Source organism: Homo sapiens, chromosome 9, assembly GCF_000001405.40.
Source record: "Homo sapiens chromosome 9, GRCh38.p14 Primary Assembly".
Classification (NCBI taxonomy): Eukaryota; Metazoa; Chordata; class Mammalia; order Primates; family Hominidae; genus Homo; species Homo sapiens.
The window spans coordinates 63,334,536-63,353,089 of record NC_000009.12 but is presented as its reverse complement, the minus strand read 5'-3'; the positions used below and the strand labels follow the sequence as shown (position 1 = coordinate 63,353,089).

The 18,554-nt window shown below is 44.1% G+C and overlaps 1 pseudogene across 5 annotated transcripts in view, besides 1 other annotated feature; it reads right to left on the bottom strand.

The window, feature by feature from the left end:
* The window catches only part of LOC100996643 (methylenetetrahydrofolate dehydrogenase (NADP+ dependent) 1 like pseudogene), a 45,510-nt pseudogene that overhangs the window by 25,758 nt on the left and 1,198 nt on the right, over positions 1-18,554 (bottom strand). For 2 of the 5 annotated variants that reach the window (NR_160665.1, NR_160664.1), the window contains exons 2-3: positions 16,835-16,942; positions 14,341-14,493 (exon numbers count right to left, since the gene is read on the bottom strand). The product of NR_160665.1 is annotated as a methylenetetrahydrofolate dehydrogenase (NADP+ dependent) 1 like pseudogene, transcript variant 3 (transcript). Of the gene's footprint in view, positions 1-4,903; positions 6,742-14,340; positions 14,494-16,834; positions 16,943-17,810; positions 17,914-18,355; positions 18,553-18,554 lie in introns of those variants that run through there. The other 3 variants (NR_160667.1, NR_160668.1, NR_160666.1) reach the window with 3 other exon arrangements.
* Positions 6,479-6,773: an enhancer, noted in NCBI's record as "tiled region #10095; HepG2 Activating DNase matched - State 5:Enh". NCBI's record gives its function as "activates a minimal TATA promoter and a strong SV40 promoter by Sharpr-MPRA in HepG2 cells {active_cell/tissue: HepG2}" and the evidence as "EXISTENCE:reporter gene assay evidence [ECO:0000049][PMID:27701403]".

Below are 18,554 nucleotides of genomic sequence, written 5' to 3'. Positions count from 1 at the left end.
TCTAACTGGTGTGAGATGGTATCTCATTGTGGTTTTGATTTGCATTTCTCTGATGGCCAGTGATGGTGAGCATTTTTTCATGTGTTTTTTGGCTGCATAAATGTCTTCTTTTGAGAAGTGTCTGTTCATGTCCTTCGCCCACTTTTTGATGGGGTTGTTTGTTTTTTTCTTGTCAATTTGTTTGAGTTCATTGTAGATTCTAGATATTAGTCCTTTGTCAGATGAGTAGGTTGTGAAAATTTTCTCCCATTTTGTAGGTTGCCTGTTCACTCTGATGGTAGTTTCTTTTGCTGTGCAGAAGCTCTTTAGTTTAATTAGATCCCATTTGTCAATTTTGTCTTTTGTTGCCATTGCTTTTGGTGTTTTAGACATGAAGTCCTTGCCCATGCCTATGTCCTGAATGGTAATGCCTAGGTTTTCTTCTAGGGTTTTTATGGTTTTAGGTTGAACTTTTAAGTCTTTAATCCATCTTGAATTGATTTTTGTATAAGGTGTAAGGAAGGGATCCAGTTTCAGCTTTCTACATATGGCTAGCCAGTTTTCCCAGAACCATTTATTAAATAGGGAATCCTTTCCCCATTGCTTGTTTTTCTCAGGTTTGTCAAAGATCAGATAGTTGTAGATATGTGGTGTTATTTCTGAGGGCTCTGTTCTGTTCCATTGATCTATATATCTGTTTTGGTACCAGTACCATGCTGTTTTGGTTACTGTAGCCTTGTAGTATAGTTTGAAGTCAGGTAGTGTGATGCCTCCAGCGTTGTTCTTTTGGCTTAGGATTGACTTGGTGATGTGGGCTCTTTTTTGGTTCCATATGAACTTTAAAGTAGTTTTTTCCAATTCTGTGAAGAAAGTCATTGGTAGCTTGATGGGTATGGCATTGAATGTGTAAATTACCTTGGGCAGTATGGCCTTTTTCACGAGATTGATTCTTCCTACCCATGAGCATGGAATGTTCTTCCATTTGTTTGTATCCTCTTTTATTTCCTTGAGCAGTGGTTTGCAGTTCTCCTTGAAGAGGTCCTTCACATCCCTTGTAAGTTGGATTAGGTATTTTATTCTCTTTGAAGCAATTGTGAATGGGAGTTCACTCATGATTTGGCTCTCTGTTTGTTTGTTGGTGGTGTATAAGAATGCTTGTGATTTTTGTACATTGATTTTGTATCCTGAGACTTTGCTGAAGTTGCTCATCAGCTTAAGGAGATTTTGGGCTGAGACAATGGGATTTTCTAGATATACAATCATGTCTTCTGCAAACAGGGACAATTTGACTTCCTCTTTTCCTAATTGAATACCCTTTATTTCCTTCTCCTGCCTGATTGCCCTGGCCAGAACTTCCATCACTATGTTGAATAAGAGTGGTAAGAGAGGACATCCCTGTCTTGTGCCAGTTTTCAAAGGGAATGCTTCCAGTTTTTGCCCATTCAGTATGATATTGGCTGTGGGTTTGTCATAGATAGCTCTTATTATTTTGAAATATGTCCCATCAATACCTAACTTATTGAGAGTTTTTAGCATGAAGGGTTGTTGAATTTTGTCAAAGGCCTTTTCTACATCCATTGAGATAATCATGTGGTTTTTGTCTTTGGTTCTGTTTATATGCTGGATTACATTTATTGATTTGCATATATTGAACCAGCCTTGCATCCCAGGGATGAAGCCCACTTGATCATGGTGGATAAGCTTTTTGATGTGCTGCTGGATTTGTTTTGCCAGTATTTTATTGAGGATTTTTGCATCAATGTTCATCAATGAAAATCAATATATATCATAACAGCTCTGTAAATGTTTCTCTGAGTTCTGTGAGCCATCCTAGGAACTTAATTGAACCCAGGGAGGGGGCTCATGCGAACCCTTTTTTTTTTTTTTTTTTTTTTTGAGATGGTGTCTCATTCTGTCTCCCAGGCTGGAGTGCAGTTGCAGGATCTCAACTCACTGCAACCTCTGCCTCCCGGGTTCAAGCGATTCTCCTGCCTTAGCCTCCCTGGTAGCTAGGCTTATAGGAGCCCGCCACCACACCCAGCTAATTTTTGTATTTTATTTCATTTATTTATTTTTTTGAGATGGAGCATCGCTCTCTCACCCAGGCTGGAGTGCAGTGACATGATCTCTGCTCACTGCAAGCTCCACCTCATGGGTTCAGGCCGTTCTCCTGCCTCAGCCTTCCAAGTAGCTGGGACTACAGGCGTCTGCCACCATGCCTGGCTAATTTTTATTTGTATTTTTAGTAGAGATGGGGTTTCACCGTGTTAGCCAGGATGGTCTTGATCTGACCTCGTGATCCACCTGCCCCGGCCTCCCAAAGTGCTGGGATTACTGGTGTGAGCCACTGTGCCCAGCTTAATTTTTGTATTTTTAATAGAGACGGGGTTTCACCATGTTGGCCAGGCTGGTCTCAAACCCCTGATCTCAAGTGATCCACCCGCCTTGGTCTCCCAAAGTGCTGGGATTACAGGCGTGAACCACCATGACCGGCCGTGGATGTAGTTTTTAGCCAGGCAGTCAGAAGTATGCGTCGCCTGGACTTGGAATTAGTGCCTGAAGTGGGGCTGGTCTCATGGGATCGAGCCGTCAATCTGTGGGATTGGACACTATCTGCAGGTAGACAGTGTCAGGATTGAATTGAATAAGAGGACACCCAGTTGGTCTCTGTGAGAAATGTTTGGTGTGTAAGGAAAAGCCCCCACACAGCCAGCCACAGAAGTGTGCTGTTGTTGAGTGTGAGAGTACAAGGGAAAAACAGTTTGCTTTTTTGCTTTACAGTGGGATATTTGATCCATAGGTTTATATCTAAGCACATGAATAGAATGTGTTTGGGCCTGGTTTTTTAGTCTTGCTGGTCAGTAACTAGTTTGACAAGAGAGACTAGCACACTGATCCCAAAAGAACTAGGCCAAGAGCAGATAGTATTTGTGGAAACTTGAGCCTCTTATTAGCTCCTTAAAAGACGTACTTTTCTAGACTTCTTTGGAGCCTGGGATTCTAGTACTGGTGAGTTTCCACCGGCAGCAGACTCCCTGAAGATTTGCTAGCCCTCTGCAGGGTTGGCAGGCCACTACCACATTTAATTGGCTCCTAGGGTATGTTCCACACCAGACTTCCCATTGTGGGAAGGCCAAGAGAACTGAAGACACAGTCTCTACTCTGGAGGTGGGGAAGTGGGGGAGGTGGTAATTTAATTAACAGTAGGTGGTGGGTGAGGCGACTTGGTAAGGTAAGAGGACACACAAAGGAAGTAACTGCAGTAAACCTTAGCTGGCAGCACAAGTGAGGAGGTGTGCTTGAAAGAGAAATGGAGTGTCTGGAGGTGGGTGAGTATATTCTGGTAGGTGTGACAAAGGCACTGTTCCTCCAACACCAGTCCTGGGAAAGGCATATGATATGGTTTGGTGCTGTGTCCCCAGCCAAATCTCATGATGAATTATGAGCTTCAGTGTTGGAGGAGGGGCCTGGTGGGAGGTGACTGGATCATGGGGGTGAATTTCCCCCTTGTTGTTCTCGTGCTAGTGAGTTCTGAGATCTGGTTGTTTAAAAGTGTGTGGCACTGCCCCTTCACTCTCTCTCCTGCCGCCATGTGAATATGTACTTGCTTCCCCTTTGCCTTCCCCATGATTGTAAGTTTCCTGAGGCCTCCCCAGCCATGCCTCTTGTATAGCCTGCAAAACTGAGTCAATTAAACCTTGTTTCTTTATAAACTATCCACTCTCAAGTAGTTCTTTACAGCAGTGTGAGAACAGACTAATACAACATGGGATCCCAAGTAACTATGCATTCAGAGAAGAAACACAGGTATGTTTGGGAACTGGATGATGGAAGGTACAGGGAAGCACTGTAGGTAACTTTCATGGGTCCTACACTCTACAACATATTCTTGGGGTTGGAATGAGTCAAACAGGAGACTGATGTCCAGGATGGAATTGGCTGTTTATGTTCCCAGGTGTAGGTCTCTTCCTTAACAGATCACGGTAGCTTCATTACAAATGGCCTGGGAAGCGTACTTAATGCAGAAACCCCAGCAAATTCTTACAGGGGTTAGTCATGCAGTTATACATTTTCATTCTGGGATTTCTAGGGGCTTAATAAAATTCCTTCATTGGATCATTTAATCCAACATAAATTATTTCCCTACACCTACTTTATACTTGCTCCCTGATTTCATACCAGTGAGTATAGCCTGATGTAACTAAACATTCTGAATTTTCAGTGATACCCAGAGAAGAGTGTGATAACCAATTCTCTCAAAAGCGATTTACTGCAAATATTTTCATTTACAGTAAGTCCTTACTTAACATTGTGGATATGTTCTTGGAAACAGTGACTTTAAGCCAAACGAGGTACTGTGTGGCTTCATAACTCAACTCTTTTTCCTATCAATTAGACTATGGGAAAACTGGTTTCATATGCATTATGTCCTTTTGCTTAAAGTGGTAGTTTCCAAGAACCTATCAATGACATTAAGTGAGGACTTATTGTAATCTGATATCTGCGGGTGGATAATTTAAGGAACACATACATAGTTAAGCCTGTAAACTGCTGCAAGTTCCAGATATTATCAGTTCTATTTCTCCACAATTACAATTCCAGTTTTGGGGTTTCTTTTTGCTCATTAAATTTGAAAAGCCAATTCCAGTTTTAAAGCTTGACCCTTTTCTTATAACTTTTTTTATAACTGATAATATATCAGTTATATCAGTTATATTTCTTAGGCTTCCCACGAAACCCTCAAACTGACTCTGAGGGTGGCCTTGCTATCTAATTTACAAAACCGGTTATTTTGGTTTGTGTTCATTTTATTTCCCTTGCATACATTGCTTAGCTGCTTCTGATTATATGCCTCTTAGCCACGGCTGGATAGAAAAGTGTAATAAGAGAAAAGTGTAACTAAGAGACACAGAAGAAAGAGAAATTCCATGAGCACCAGATACTTTTATGGGTGCCTTTTGGAAGCTCTAAATTGAGATGTATCTTTGTTGTCAATTTATGCTATGAATCCAAACGAAAAATGGGGGGAGAAAAACAAGTAGGCTGTAGATGAAAGTGGAAGAAGAAAAATGAGTCTATATATATATATATATATTAGCAGTTGTATGAAAGTATATGAGTCAATATTCCATCAATACCTAGAAAAATAGTAGATCAATATGCTGATTTTAGGGGTGGACACAAAAGTGTTATAAGCGTCTTTTAACTTTTCTTTTTTCCCTCCTTGACTCTGAAGAGAAACACCATTTTTCTACGTATGCAAAGAGTAAAAATTCAGAACTAACATGCAGGGATTAATAGCAGTGAATTGCAAACTCAACTCAGTGGTATAGTACCTGGCAACATTATTACTCAGCATATTTCCCTGGCTGAGGCTGATTTCATTTAAAGTAGTTTTATACTTGTGCTAAAAATAAGTGTACATCCCATTAAGGGAGAAAAGATCTTCTACACAATGGATTGGACCTACATAACCTTATGTACCAGAGAGGAAAACATCATTCTCATGAGTCGCAAAGCTTTCTTCCTCTTGTCAATATGATAAACAGTTTCCAGAAATTGAGAATGACGCTGGTTACTTTCCTTCCTCCTGAACATGCCACACTGAAGAGACAGGGATGACTCCTTCCCTATGGGACAGACACACATGTAGCTTTCCCTGGGTTGTGGAGGAAGGCATGGCCACAACACCATTGGCAGTCTGCTGCAGGGACCTCACGATGAGAGGAAGCAATGGATGCCTGGGCCAGGGAAATGCATATTTGGGAGAAAGCAGGAAATTCTGATGTAGAGATAGGGAAGAACCCTGGGGAAAAGGACCCAAGCTGGGCGGGGAGGAGGAAACCACCAGGATCCCAGGATCAGAGACAAAGGACCCAGGGACACAAACAAAGTGAGGCCAGATGGAGAGGGCAGGCTCACGGGGAGAGCAAGCTCACAGGGAGAGCATGAGCCAAACCTGGCTTATTTCACACTCATCAGAGAGACTGCACAGATGGGGCCAAACCAGGGCCCAGGAGCATCGGAGAGAGGAAGGCCATTTCAAAGACTTTTGTAAAATAAGCTCAAAGTTTCTTTGTTTATTTGTGGGTGTGGGAGTGGAAACGTAGGGAAAGTGAAGAAAGTGGGGGAAAAGGGATGGGTGATTTTGTAGGCAAGATGCTCCCTGAGGAGGTCCTCGTGGACCTGCTGTGGGGAGTGGCATTCTGCACACTCTCATATCATGGGGAGCGCATGACTACATTACTGCTTACACATCTCCAAGTGCAGCTTGTGGGGTGAATGTTTAATTGTCTCACTGTAACTGTCTAAATCTCTGGAAAATGTGAAGGGTCATGCATTTGATTTAAACCTATGAGGTCTGAATGAATTCTCCTCCATGCCTAACCGAGTGAAGCAAGTATATAACCAACCATGCATCCCTAAGCAGGGCCGGTATGAAAGGGAGGAAACGCCTCCCCACTGAGCTTGCAAAGAACTTCATCACTGACCTGAATCAGATCCGGCAGGAAATGAAACACTGAGTACATACTTTTACAGTAGAGGGAGGGGGACGGAAAACAAAGTGAGCTGAACTGAAATGTGAGAAAGAACAGAATGGCAGTGAGTCCATGGGGCAGGGCCGCAGCTTTCTTTTTTCATGGCCCTCAGTCCAGTAACCCCACCCGGCATTCGTAGCGGGTGACATCACTGATGCCCAAACATGCTCCAGCAATTTCCTGCTTTCCAGAGTCCAGCCGAGCCATGATATCAGTGGTGCACCTGGGTAAAGATATGGCAGGGCCGGGTCACAGGGAGTGGGGACAAAGGCCAACCCAGTTAAATAAACTGCTGGTCTTCTAGGGCCTGGTCCCTAGGCAGGCTTCCACCATGAGATAGGTATAGCCCAGGCCAATCCCAACAAGAGGAAAAAAAGCATGTACTTGGCCGGGGGCGGTGGCTCACACCTGTAATCCCAGCACGTTGGGAGGTTGAGGCGGGTGAATCACGAGGTCAGGAGTTTGAGACCAGCCTGAACAATGTGGTGAAACCCCGTCTCTACTAAAATTGGAAAAAATTAGCTGGGCGTAGTGGTGGCCACCTGTAATCCCAGCTACTCGGGAAGCTGAGGCAGGAGAATCGCTTGAACCTGGGAGATGGAGGTTGCAGTGAGCCGAGATCACACCAGTGCACTCCAGCCCAGGCAACAGAGTAAGACTCTGTCTCAAAAAAAAAAAAAAAGAATGCACCCATGCAGTGCCTCCTGTCACCCTCTGCCCAGAAAGGGCACAGGGGCCAGGGTGAAAGAGTTACAGGAAGACAGAGGGAAGGAAACCATGCAGACATAACCACATGGGGGCAGGCCCTAAGCTGCTGGGACCTCCACAGTGTATCCCTTTCCTCCAACTGGGAGACGGAAGCACCGATGGTCTTTCTCTACAGTGCCAGGAGCCACCCTGCCCCCAGAGATGCCCTACAATCAATGACTACCATCTAAATGCTTCTGGATAGTTTCGTTCCTTGTAGATGATATTCCAAATATTATAATTTGTACTTCTCCACAATTACAATTCCAGTTTTGGGGTTTCTTTTTACTCATTAAATTTGAAAAGCCAATTCCAGTTTTAAAGCTTGACGCTTTTCTTAAAAGTTTAACTTCTCTTTTTATTCAGGCTTCCCACTAAACCCTCAAACTGACTCTGAGGGTGGCCTGGCTAATTTACAAAACCGGCCAGGCTGCCTAACCCCTAGATTCCAGCCCAGAGTGTTGCCATAAATTGCTGTCAAGACATGCCTCTATGTCCCATGTTTGCCAGTGAGAAAAGGGTTCATATTCTAAGTTCTTCAAGTCTCTCTCACTGCCTCAATGTGAAGTCAATGGAAAACAGTCAAATACACCAAAAATTAACTTCAAATGGATATCTGCTATGAATTCCAACTTGGTTGGACACCTCTCCAGGCCAACTGTTGTGAAAATGCATTGTTGCTTTAAAAAACACTGTGAGAGATGGCTGGGCGTGGTGGCTTACTTGAGGTCAGGAGTTTGAGAACAGCCCGGCCAATATGGTGAGACCCCAGTCTCTATGAAAAATAAAAATTGAGCCAGATATGGTGGCATGCACTTGTAGTCCACGCTACTTGGGAGGCTGAGGCAGGAGTATCACTTGAACCTGGAAGGCGGAGGTTGCAGTGAGCTGAGATCATGCTACTGCACTCCAGCCTGGGTGACAGAGCAATACTCTGTCTCAAAAAAAAAAAAAAAAAAAAAAAGAGAGAGCGAGAGAAAACACTGTGAGAAGAAAGAAGTCAATCACCCCCTCTCCAATGCCCAACACAGTAAGCAAGAAGGGCCCAGGAAAAAATTAACAGGGAAAAACAATCTTGCATTTGCTTAGTGGAATCTGGGGTTTGCACACATTAGTCAGAGCTAGACAAATCATACTGAATACACTTCTTATAGAAACATTCTAGCTCTTATGGCCTTTCCTTGCTGTCCCAACTTTTGAGGTGCAAAAACACAGCAACACAGCCAGGACCGGCCAGGTGATGGCACGGAGCCCGCTCCCACAGGCTGTGTGTGTGTTCTCACTCTCTTGCAACTGGCCTGAGTTAAGCCTTCTCCCCAAGCACTTGCAGTTTATCATCGCCCTATTTACTGTATTTTCATGTTATAAAAGTGATATACACCCAACGTAGTAATTTGATCTATACAAAAAAGAGAAGAAAAAAAGCTACTCATAATATCACTGTCTAATTTAAGGTTTTGGTGTAGTCTTTCTAGTCTTTTTCTATATGGAATGTAATTTACTTCTCAAAAATATCATTTCATATACTTTGCTTACATATTAGCATTTTTGTCATGAAATTCATGCCAACTGATTAAACAGCCCTTGTAAATTACAGAAACTTAAAGACAATATCAAAACAATGTGACCACAAGACAAAGACCACCTACTACTAAATTATTTTTGGCATGAGATTATTTTTTGAGAAGTTTTATAAACTATTAGGTTTATTGAACACTATAAACTGTAATCCTTGAAAGAATTTTGGAAGCATACCATAACAGGGTAATTTGTAGTAGAATATAGGGTTGGAAAACCTTAAAAAACACTTGCTCATTTCTTCCTATATCAAAGATTTGTATTAGAAAATCTATTTCTTACAAAAAGAGGTACTAAGTGGTATTATGTCAGTCAAGCATCTTGTATTATTTTCTAGCTTTCAATAATATGTATAATGTCATAAAAAAGAGGGAAGAATACACAAAATACACATGAAGCTTACTAGGAATGAAGAAAGTTATTTTAGGAAGGAAAAATTGGTTACCATCAAGGAATATGGAAAACACTAGCAATGCATGTAAGAATGACCTCAAAGGTCTTAGACATCCACGAGCTGGGAATGCTTGTGCTGGGTGCTTCAGTTACAACAGCATGGGGAAGTTAAATAGACTAGTGAAGCTGTTACATCAGTTAATAGTATTTATTATTATTTGTGGTCACCAATGCCAATTAAAACAATAATTAAATAGAACATGATGAAATAATTCAATGGTAGGAAAAAAAAAAATCTGGCCTACAAGTGAACATGGAAAGTAAAAGTAAATATTTAGAAAGTGAAATCAGGAGCGGAAAAAAGCTCCAGCATCTCACCATGGGGTCTTCCAAAGCCAGCAGTACTGGAGATGTTTATTGTTCAAAGATGGACTTGCTTGGGTTGGGATTCTCCAACTAGAGCCAGAGGGGAGATTCTCTGCTTCCCTTGAGGACACAACAAGAGAGGCTTTCTTATAAAGCCTGCCACATTCTGTGCCTGTATTGTTTTATTTACTGGAGTCTATCATAAGGCCTGTGAGGAAAGGACTGAATCTCTTTCTCATAGCCGTTGGGCTGATGGCCCTGCGTGCTGTAGGCATTTAATAATTCACTGAGTAAATGAATGAACCCTGCAGGAGATTGGGAGCCTTTCTGATCTTGAGGTCTCAGTTTGGACTATCTTTCTGGAGTGGATAGACGAATATGTTTTTCAGCAGCACTCTAATAAGCGCACATTGGGTGACTAAGCAGAAGAGTGATTCGTTTTGCTAGAATTTTCCCACCTGCAGGAGCCAGTCCCCCTGGTGTCCCCATTCCCTGTCCCCTCAGTCATCTCAGCAGGAAATTACTATCCTTTCTCCCACATGGGTGATGAATGTTCAAGGCATTTCAGCACACTGTGGTAAGGCCCAGAATGGGTTCAAGTAAAAGTAAATACCAGTCCTTATTAGGAGATCCTGGCCCCTCTGCTGCATGTGTCCCAGTACACATGCAGCTTCCTGCTCTGTCACAGAAAGCAGCCCTCTAGGGCCACTGCCTCCAGTGAGAGTTTCCTGACCTCCAGGAACTTCTGTAGTCAGGCACCACTCCCTTTCCTCACACCCCACACCCTATTGTTCCAGATTTTATCACTGTGCACTGATGCTCACTGCGACCCCACATGTGGCCACAGGAGGAACTCGGCTGAGGGCTGAGAAGACCAGATAATGACACAGAGGGCTCACTTCAGGAAACCCAGAGAGCTGCAGCGGCTCCTCCAGGGCCATTCCACGCATTCATTTTCTAACAAGTCATAAGTCAAAGAGTGACATCAGGAGCGGACAGCCTGGTGTCCAGGCATGAGCCATGGCAACAGATTCTGATTTCCCAGAACGGCTTTGGTCTTTACCTGGTGTTGGATATGGTAGTGTTAGCTGGAGTGGGAGGAGATTCACATTGTATATTTGTTTAGTGACTCCAAAGATTTTAAATTATATTGTGTTTTTTATTATTTTATTCCATTTTTTTAGAGACAGAGGTCTCACTCTATCTCCCAGGCTGGAGTGCAATGATATGATCATAGGCCAGTGTAGCCTCAAACTCCTGGGCTCAAGTAATCCTCCCATTTCAGCCTCCTGAGTAGCTGGGACTCCAGGTGTGTACCATGACTCCTGGCTAATTTTGGTTTAAGTAGAGACACAGTCTGGCTATGTTGCCCAGGCTGGTCTTGAACTCCTGGCCTGAAGCAATCCTTCTACCTTGGCTTCCAAAAGTGCTTGGATTGTAAGTGTGAACCACTGTGTGGGCCCTGGTTTTTGTTTAATGGCTATTAAATGCTCAGAAGTGAATTAAGGTTGCAGTTAAATGCACAATTTTTATATCAAACTATTTTCTTTGCTAATTCACTTCTATCTGCGTCTACCAGCTGTAAACTACCTGAAGCAGAGAAAGTTTCTTTAGGTTGGGGCTTCCTGTAGCCCCGAGCTGAGTGCCTTATGCAGCATTGGCCGAGTGAATGAATTTGTTGGGTGAACTGCTGCGGGGTTTAGAGTCCGCAGAGGGTAGGACAGGACAGATCGTGATCGAGGCTAACCTTCTCATCTACTCTACCATTTCATGCTCTGTTTGGGCACCTCCATCACCCCTCACTTCCCCTGATGGTCCAGTCTCTCTGGGCCTGCACTGTCCAGCCACCCTCTTATCCCTAAGCCAAGGCCTTTGCCAACTAAAGCTCAGGAGTAAAGTGGCCATCACTGAGGCCATTCTATGTATGTATGTCTGTATGTATTTAGAGATGGAGTCTTGCTCTGTCACCCGGGCTGAAGCACAATGGTGCAGTCTTGGCTTACTGCAACCTCTGCCTCCCAGGTTCAAGCAATTCTCCTGCCTCAGCCTCCCAAGTAGCTGGGATTATAGGTGCCCGCCACCATGCCCAGCAAATTTTTGTATTTTTAGTAGAGATGGGGTTTCACCCTTTTGGCCAGGCAGGTCTCGAACTCCTGACCTTGTGATCCCCCCACCTTGGCCTCCCAAAGTGCTGGGATTACAGGCATGAGCCACTGCACCCGGCTGACTGAGGCCATTCTAAGGAATATACAGCAAGCTCTTCACTACCCATTTTTGTTAACTGAGGTATAACTAAATGATACACAGGCCCAGCACAGTGGCACGAACCTATAGTCACAGCAACTTGGGAAGCTGAGGTGGGAGGATTGCTTGAGATCAGGAGTTTGAGTCCAGCCTGGGCAACACACGTGTATAGGTCTATGAGTCTGGAAGAATGTATATAGCCATGGAATCACTACCATGTCAAAACATAGGATATTTCCATTATCCCAAAAAGTTCCCTCCTGCCCCTCTGCAGTCAAACACTTCCCTCCCCCAGCTCCTGGCAACTGCTGATCTGAACTGTAGACCTGAAAATGTCATTCAGAACCCATTTCATCTGGACCCTTCTCTCTGTGTCAACATTGCTGTGAGCGGTGTCTGTGGGATTTTTCTGGACGTTCTCTGCCATGCCCCTGCTCCTTCCTTCCTGCCTTCTGGAAGGCACCCCTGCCAGGAGTCGGCTGCATTAAAGTGGGTGTTTCAGGGGTGTCTTCCTTTACTCTCTTCTCACTGATTTCCAGCTATCCCTGTGTCTCTTGTTTAATGAGTGCCTTCACCCATATCCTTAAACCCACCAGGGCGACCTTCCTGCCCCTTTCTTTGGAGAGCTGTATCTGTATTTCCAGTGGAGACACAGACTGTTCCTTAGATCCTATTAACCCTCTGAGCTCTCTCTCTTCAAGCCAGGCTCATTTCTGGCTTGGCCAATCTGCCTCCTCCCGTGTCCTTTCCATGATACGGTGATGGCATCACCAGCCAGTCACCAAGCTAGAACAGTCCCTTCACCCGGCCCCTACTGTAGGAGGATACTTTTAGAGTATGTCTGCAATTCACCCCCACTCTCTGTATCTACTTCTGTGGCCAAAGTGCGGACCTTGATTTCCTCTGGCCCCAGCTGAATTAACCCACCTCTCTGGGCCTGGTTCTCTTTTCACTAAACATTCTCCACATTGCTGCCAGAGCTATTTTTCTAAAATACACATCAGACCACATTCTTCTCCTCCTTCTTTAAAAACAAAAAATCAAAAAAAAAAAAACCAAGAAACAAACAAAAAACCCACCCTACCGTGGCTCCTCAGTGTGTAGAGATCAGATTCAAGTTCCGTGAGATGGTCTTCAAGATCCTTGGTCATGTGACCCCGTCCTGCTATCCCAATCCCATTCCCATTCCCATCCCCAGCCTCCCCACCTCATCCAACTCCAGCCACATTGGATCACCCCAGGAGAGGATGTCATGTATTAGTACTCTGGTGCCTTTGAGTCAAAACTCACTGTTTTGCCAGTTCAGAGGTTGAGCCCTTTTTGAAGAATCCCCTCTTCTTCCACAGCCCAGGTAAGTTCTACCCCAGGCATAATGAGCTGTTATCCCCCTGGGATCTGAGGGCATTCAGAATACCAACACAATGCTCTCCAGATACCTCTATGCTATTCAAATCCATGCATCTCACACCTGCTCATCTTAAAATCTCTGTGCCTCACATGCAGGAAGAATTCAAATGATGCTGATTGAAAAAACATTGTGTCCAATATTAGATGAAGTATGTAAATATCAAGGCAAGAATCTGCACTTTTTGTCTGTCTATTGCTTGTTTGCACAATAGAGCCACATGGTTTATTATAAAAAATTATTATAATGTATGCTGTTTAAGCTCAGATCACTTTGCACTAATGATGATGATAATGATGGGTTAGAATTTTTTTTCTTTTCTTGCCATGGGATCTGCCAGGTTTTAAGAATTCTTTTTTATTCTAAACCAAATTCAGGAGCACTCCCAAAGACAAGAAATCAAATTTAGGCCACTGATGGTACCAACGGAAGGCTATCACTCTGTAGCTATACCAAATGAAGCCAATCTTCATGGATTTTAAGCACTTTGATAAGCTTTTATATCTCTTCTCCTCTCCTTTACCTCCATAGATAACACAAAATAACAGAATAATCAACCAATAGCAACGTAATCCCATCACAACAACATCAAAAATGAGAATTCATATGATTCAGTAATTTCCTAAGCCAGAACTTCCCACCTGATGTGCTGGGGAAGTGAGAGGGTGAGGACTGCTTTCCCCAGCCCTTAGGGTGACTGGGCAGATCCTGTCTGGTGTGAGCATTCAACCCTACTGATTACATCATTTTGGGTGCTATGTGTGATAAAGGTTGACAACCACTGTCCTAAGCCATTCTACCATTTAAATAGACTGAATTCTCCCAAGTTATGTTCTTACTTGCCTTAGGAAGGAAATTAGTATTATGACTCTAAGGATCCTGAACACATGATCTAAAAAAAGAAAAACCCAAACCACAATGGCAAAGGTAGGTGAGACAGAGTGTTTAGAAAAATAGCGAATACTGTACTATTAATTACTCCCAATTCTCCCTAATCCATGATTTTTAAAGAGCGGGTGGAGCATAACGATTTGAGGCACTGCGACAATGCAGAATGGGGAGGGTTTTTGGAAAATGTGACTCACTCACCGTTCCGACCAAAGGGTAAATGAACCCAGCACCTATGCTGGCCCGGACATCACTGATAGGTAAGATGAAGTCACTTGGCACACCTTTTTTGTCAGGTTGGTGAGACAGAGAAAGATCGGTCTTTGCCATGCAGATGGGCAAATTTCCAAAACCCTGTAAGAAAGGAAAGAAAATGTGTTCACTGATATAGATGTGAGTCTCCTGTGTTTTTCAATTTGCACTTTATACAGTCTCGGCAGCAATGGTATGCCAGCTCAGATCGAGGCACATGCAGGAGCTGCTTGTTACTACTTGTTCACTGAAGAAGCAAGAAGGTGAGGATAAAAACTCATCTCTATGTGATGACTGTTTAGTAGGTCAAGGGTGACTATTGTTTATTTTGGAGGTTCTCGTTAAGAGAAGGCAGTGTTATGTGCAAGTTTGGGAAAAGCATTGCTATTTGCAGGCAAAGCAGCAGCTGTAGAAACCGCTTTCCAAGACTATTAATATCCGGGACCCAGCAAGGTAGTCTGGAGAAAGGCTCTGCGACTAGGCTCTTAGTCATGTTGTTCACTCATTCTGGAGTCAGTCAAGAAGCAAAGGGTTCCTTTGTGTTGGTTTATGAATCATGGTTATTTGATCTGCAACTACATTACAAGAACTAAGATGAGGTCACTATTTAAGCTTCCTGTTTTTAAGGACAAAAGTCTATGTCTGACCCAGAGTTCCAAAGGTGAAAGAGCAGGAAGTCACATGTGGTGTCTCACAAAAAGCACAGTGTCCTATAAGCCTGTTTCTGATTAAATGGCACACAGTGTTCCTTTAGAGGCTTTGCTAATTCATTGCAACCACATACTTGGCACTAACTTTAAAAAAAATAAAAATAGAGATGGAGGTTTTGCTATGTTGCTCAGAGTGGTCTCAACTCCTGGCTTCAACTGATCCTCTGCCTTGCCCCCACAAAGTGCTGGGATTACAGGTGTGAGCACCGTGCCTGGTTGACACGACTTTTAAGGAGTATTTCCTTGATAGAGATAAAGGGAATGAAATCTTTAGTCAAATTTTCATAAGACTTAGCCTAAAACTATTTGGAAGATCTTAGAGTCTTATCAACTTAGGGAGGACTTGGGCTTGGGGCCATTTTCTTTTTGAAATCTCCACTCTTCTATACTGATAAGAATTTTGCTGAGTGAGAATCACAACTGCCTTTCAGAATGGTGCCAGAATTTTGAATTTCAGACATGGTTAAATATTAAAGTAATTTCTATAGGTTTGCTAATGTAAAAATTTTGTTAGTAGGCATATTAAAAAGAAACAGAAACCAACCAGTATGCTATATACTGTCACCAGATTACTTCATAAAAGAAATAACATTTTAACACTGAAAGGAGAAAAGACTTAATATTACAATAAATGATAGTCTTAAATATCATTATTAAAAACTCGGGGAAAAAAAAACAAAGCAACCTCATGAGAATGACCTTATTTTACTTGGTTCATTGCACATGAATGAAAACTTCACCACAATGCCTAGGCACAGAGCAGTGCTTGGGAATCCTTTTTGTAAAGGGTAAGCCAAGAACATCAGGGAAAATTCTAAGAATTTAGAACTTTCTGAGTTCCTATTTTACCAAACCTAGGAGAACAAATACCCTGGCTGGCAATGGTAGCATTTAACAAAATTTCAAATGGGTTTACAAAAAAGAATAAGGAGTTGGAGATTGTTTTTAAAGATAAGGTCAACACTACCAATCATGAAGCTCTTTAGCCAACAGGCTCTTAAAATGTTCTGACTTCTATCTATCTGATTACACCAAAGTAGGAGGGACACTGGAGGCACATGATCCTTTTGGTAAAAGGTGGCTGAGCCTCCTATAATGGAGTTGATTCATCATGACTGTCACTGGACTAGGTGATGACACATGCTGTCAGATCGTAGCCACCTTCCCAGCTGTTTGCCTACTTGCCTTTCTCAGTGGCTAGAGGTAGAAGATGATGGAGCCTTCAACCTCAGTGGACCAGCTCAGTAAAAAGCCAATGAACCGCTTGCATAAGAACAGCAAACATTCCCATCTTTATAGGCTGCACTCCTATCTGCCTACCCTGGCACCTTGCTAGCATTTTTAAGGTAGTAAGAGGCCTGTAAGGAAGAGGAAGCATTGCAATTCATGCAAATCTGACTCCGCAGCTCTACTCCAAAGGATAGTTTCAACGTTCTGGGCTGAGTGGGAGGGATGAAAGATCACACATCACCTACAAACAGGGATACCACCCATATCAGACACATTTATAGTCACAGAAGTAAATCATGCATGGATCAGAGGATACATGCCTCACCATAAAGTTCTAAATATAGTTTACACTCTACCCGAGGATATTGCTTTCATCTTTGTTAACCAGAAAATAGATTAAGCAAAGGTTAGCTGGTGAGACATGTACAAATCCTCAAGTCAAGCTGAGTATTCTGAGAGCCTAAGGTGAATTTTTTCTTTTCCCCTAAAAGTACAACTTTTACCTGCTGAGTGTAACGATCTATTTTGACTTGTGCCTCAGGACAGAGTTCGATATCTTTGGCTCCATAGACAGCCTGGGCAATGGTCCTTATCTTGTCCACAATTGGAAGCTGCAGAAACACAAATTATAACAAAATTGTGTAAGTTTAATCTGGTTAAAGATTTTTTAAAAAGTTTAGTGACACTTACTGTAATTGCTTAAAATTCCCTTATCAGGGTACCCCCTCAGCAACTGCAGGATTCCTCGCAAACCCTCTTTTTTCCTTTTAGCACCCTAAAGCACTGAAATTTTCAGTGTCAGAATAGATCAGATGTCAACTAGCAAATAAGCCTTAGGTGTTCAGGCAATTTAGAGGCTGCTTAGAGCCCACGTAGAATCTGCAGAGGGAGGCCGGGCACAGTGGCTCACACCTATAATCCCAGTACTTTGGGAGGCTGAGGCGGGTGGATTACCTGAGGTCAGGAGTTCGAAACCAGCCTGATCAATATGGTGACACCCCGTCTTTACTAAAAATCCAAAAAAACTAGCTGGGCTTGGTGGTGCATGCCTGTAATCCCAGCTACTTGGGAGGCTGAGGCAGGAGAATCACTTGAACTGGGAGGCAGAGACTGTGGTGAGACAAGATTGTGCCACTGCACTCCAGCCTGGGTGGAGTAGGACTCCGTCTCAAAAAAAAAAAAAATCTGCAGAGGGAAGAGGGAAGTTAGTGCCTTACAGAGGGCTTCTGACTAGGAAGCCCCAGAACTGCGGCCGACCCCTTCCTCTCCCTGCCTCACCCCTGCAGAAAGACCTGCAGAAAAAGCTGGAAGGGGTGGGATGGTGTGTGTGGGGGTGGGGACTGGGGCTATGCAGTTTCCAGACCTGGTCTTTGGCACCCTCTACAGGACAGTTCCATTCCCACACCTGAGCTTTGGACAACTGAATCCTATGCCCCTTCCCACCCAGGGAACCTGGTGCCAGAAATTCCCAGGACTTACCCACCATCCACCACGCCACATAGCAAGTGTCCTCAGTGTCTGCAGACCAGAAACAACTCCCTTGTGTCTCAGCACTGGGCCACCTGCTGAAACCCCAAACTGCCTGCCCCATTGTTTGAGACCCAGTCAGGCCTTGGCTCCAAAAGTCCTCTTGGACTGCCACTGGCCCCCAGGGTCTCTCCTGACTGCACCTCGGTCCCGGAGCTCCCACACCGCTGGGCCCCGAGCCCCATGCCCCGATCCAGCTGTGGCTCCTTTACGGGGGCCTTGCTGGCCTTTCCTAAGGGAGGTGTTTTCCCGAGGGCAGGTGGACTGCTCCTCAGACTAGGGGCCCTCGGAGGGCCAGGCCTGGGCTTCTACCTCCTCTCGCAGGCTGGTGTTTCTCTGCAAATATGGCTCGTGTGTCCTCCTTCCTCTCAGACTGGGGGCCCCTGAGGACTGGGCCTGAGTTTCCCTCTCCCCCTTCAGAATGGGGGTTCCCTGAGGACTGACCCAGGGCCTCCCCCCGTCCCCTCCATCTGGCTGTTAATCTCCAACACTTTCACCTCCAGTCCTATTCTGCACAGCGCTCCCCAGCGCTGGGAGCTCAGAGGCCTCTTCAGCCTTCCCCAGGGCTGGGGCTCAGGGAGGGCTTCCTCAGGCGCTGGCCCCAGAGTCAGGCTGCACATTGGCTTGGAGGACAGGCCTTTCCTCTGGGACTGTGAGGCCCAGAGTGCCCACCCAGAACTCCACCTCTGACCTCAC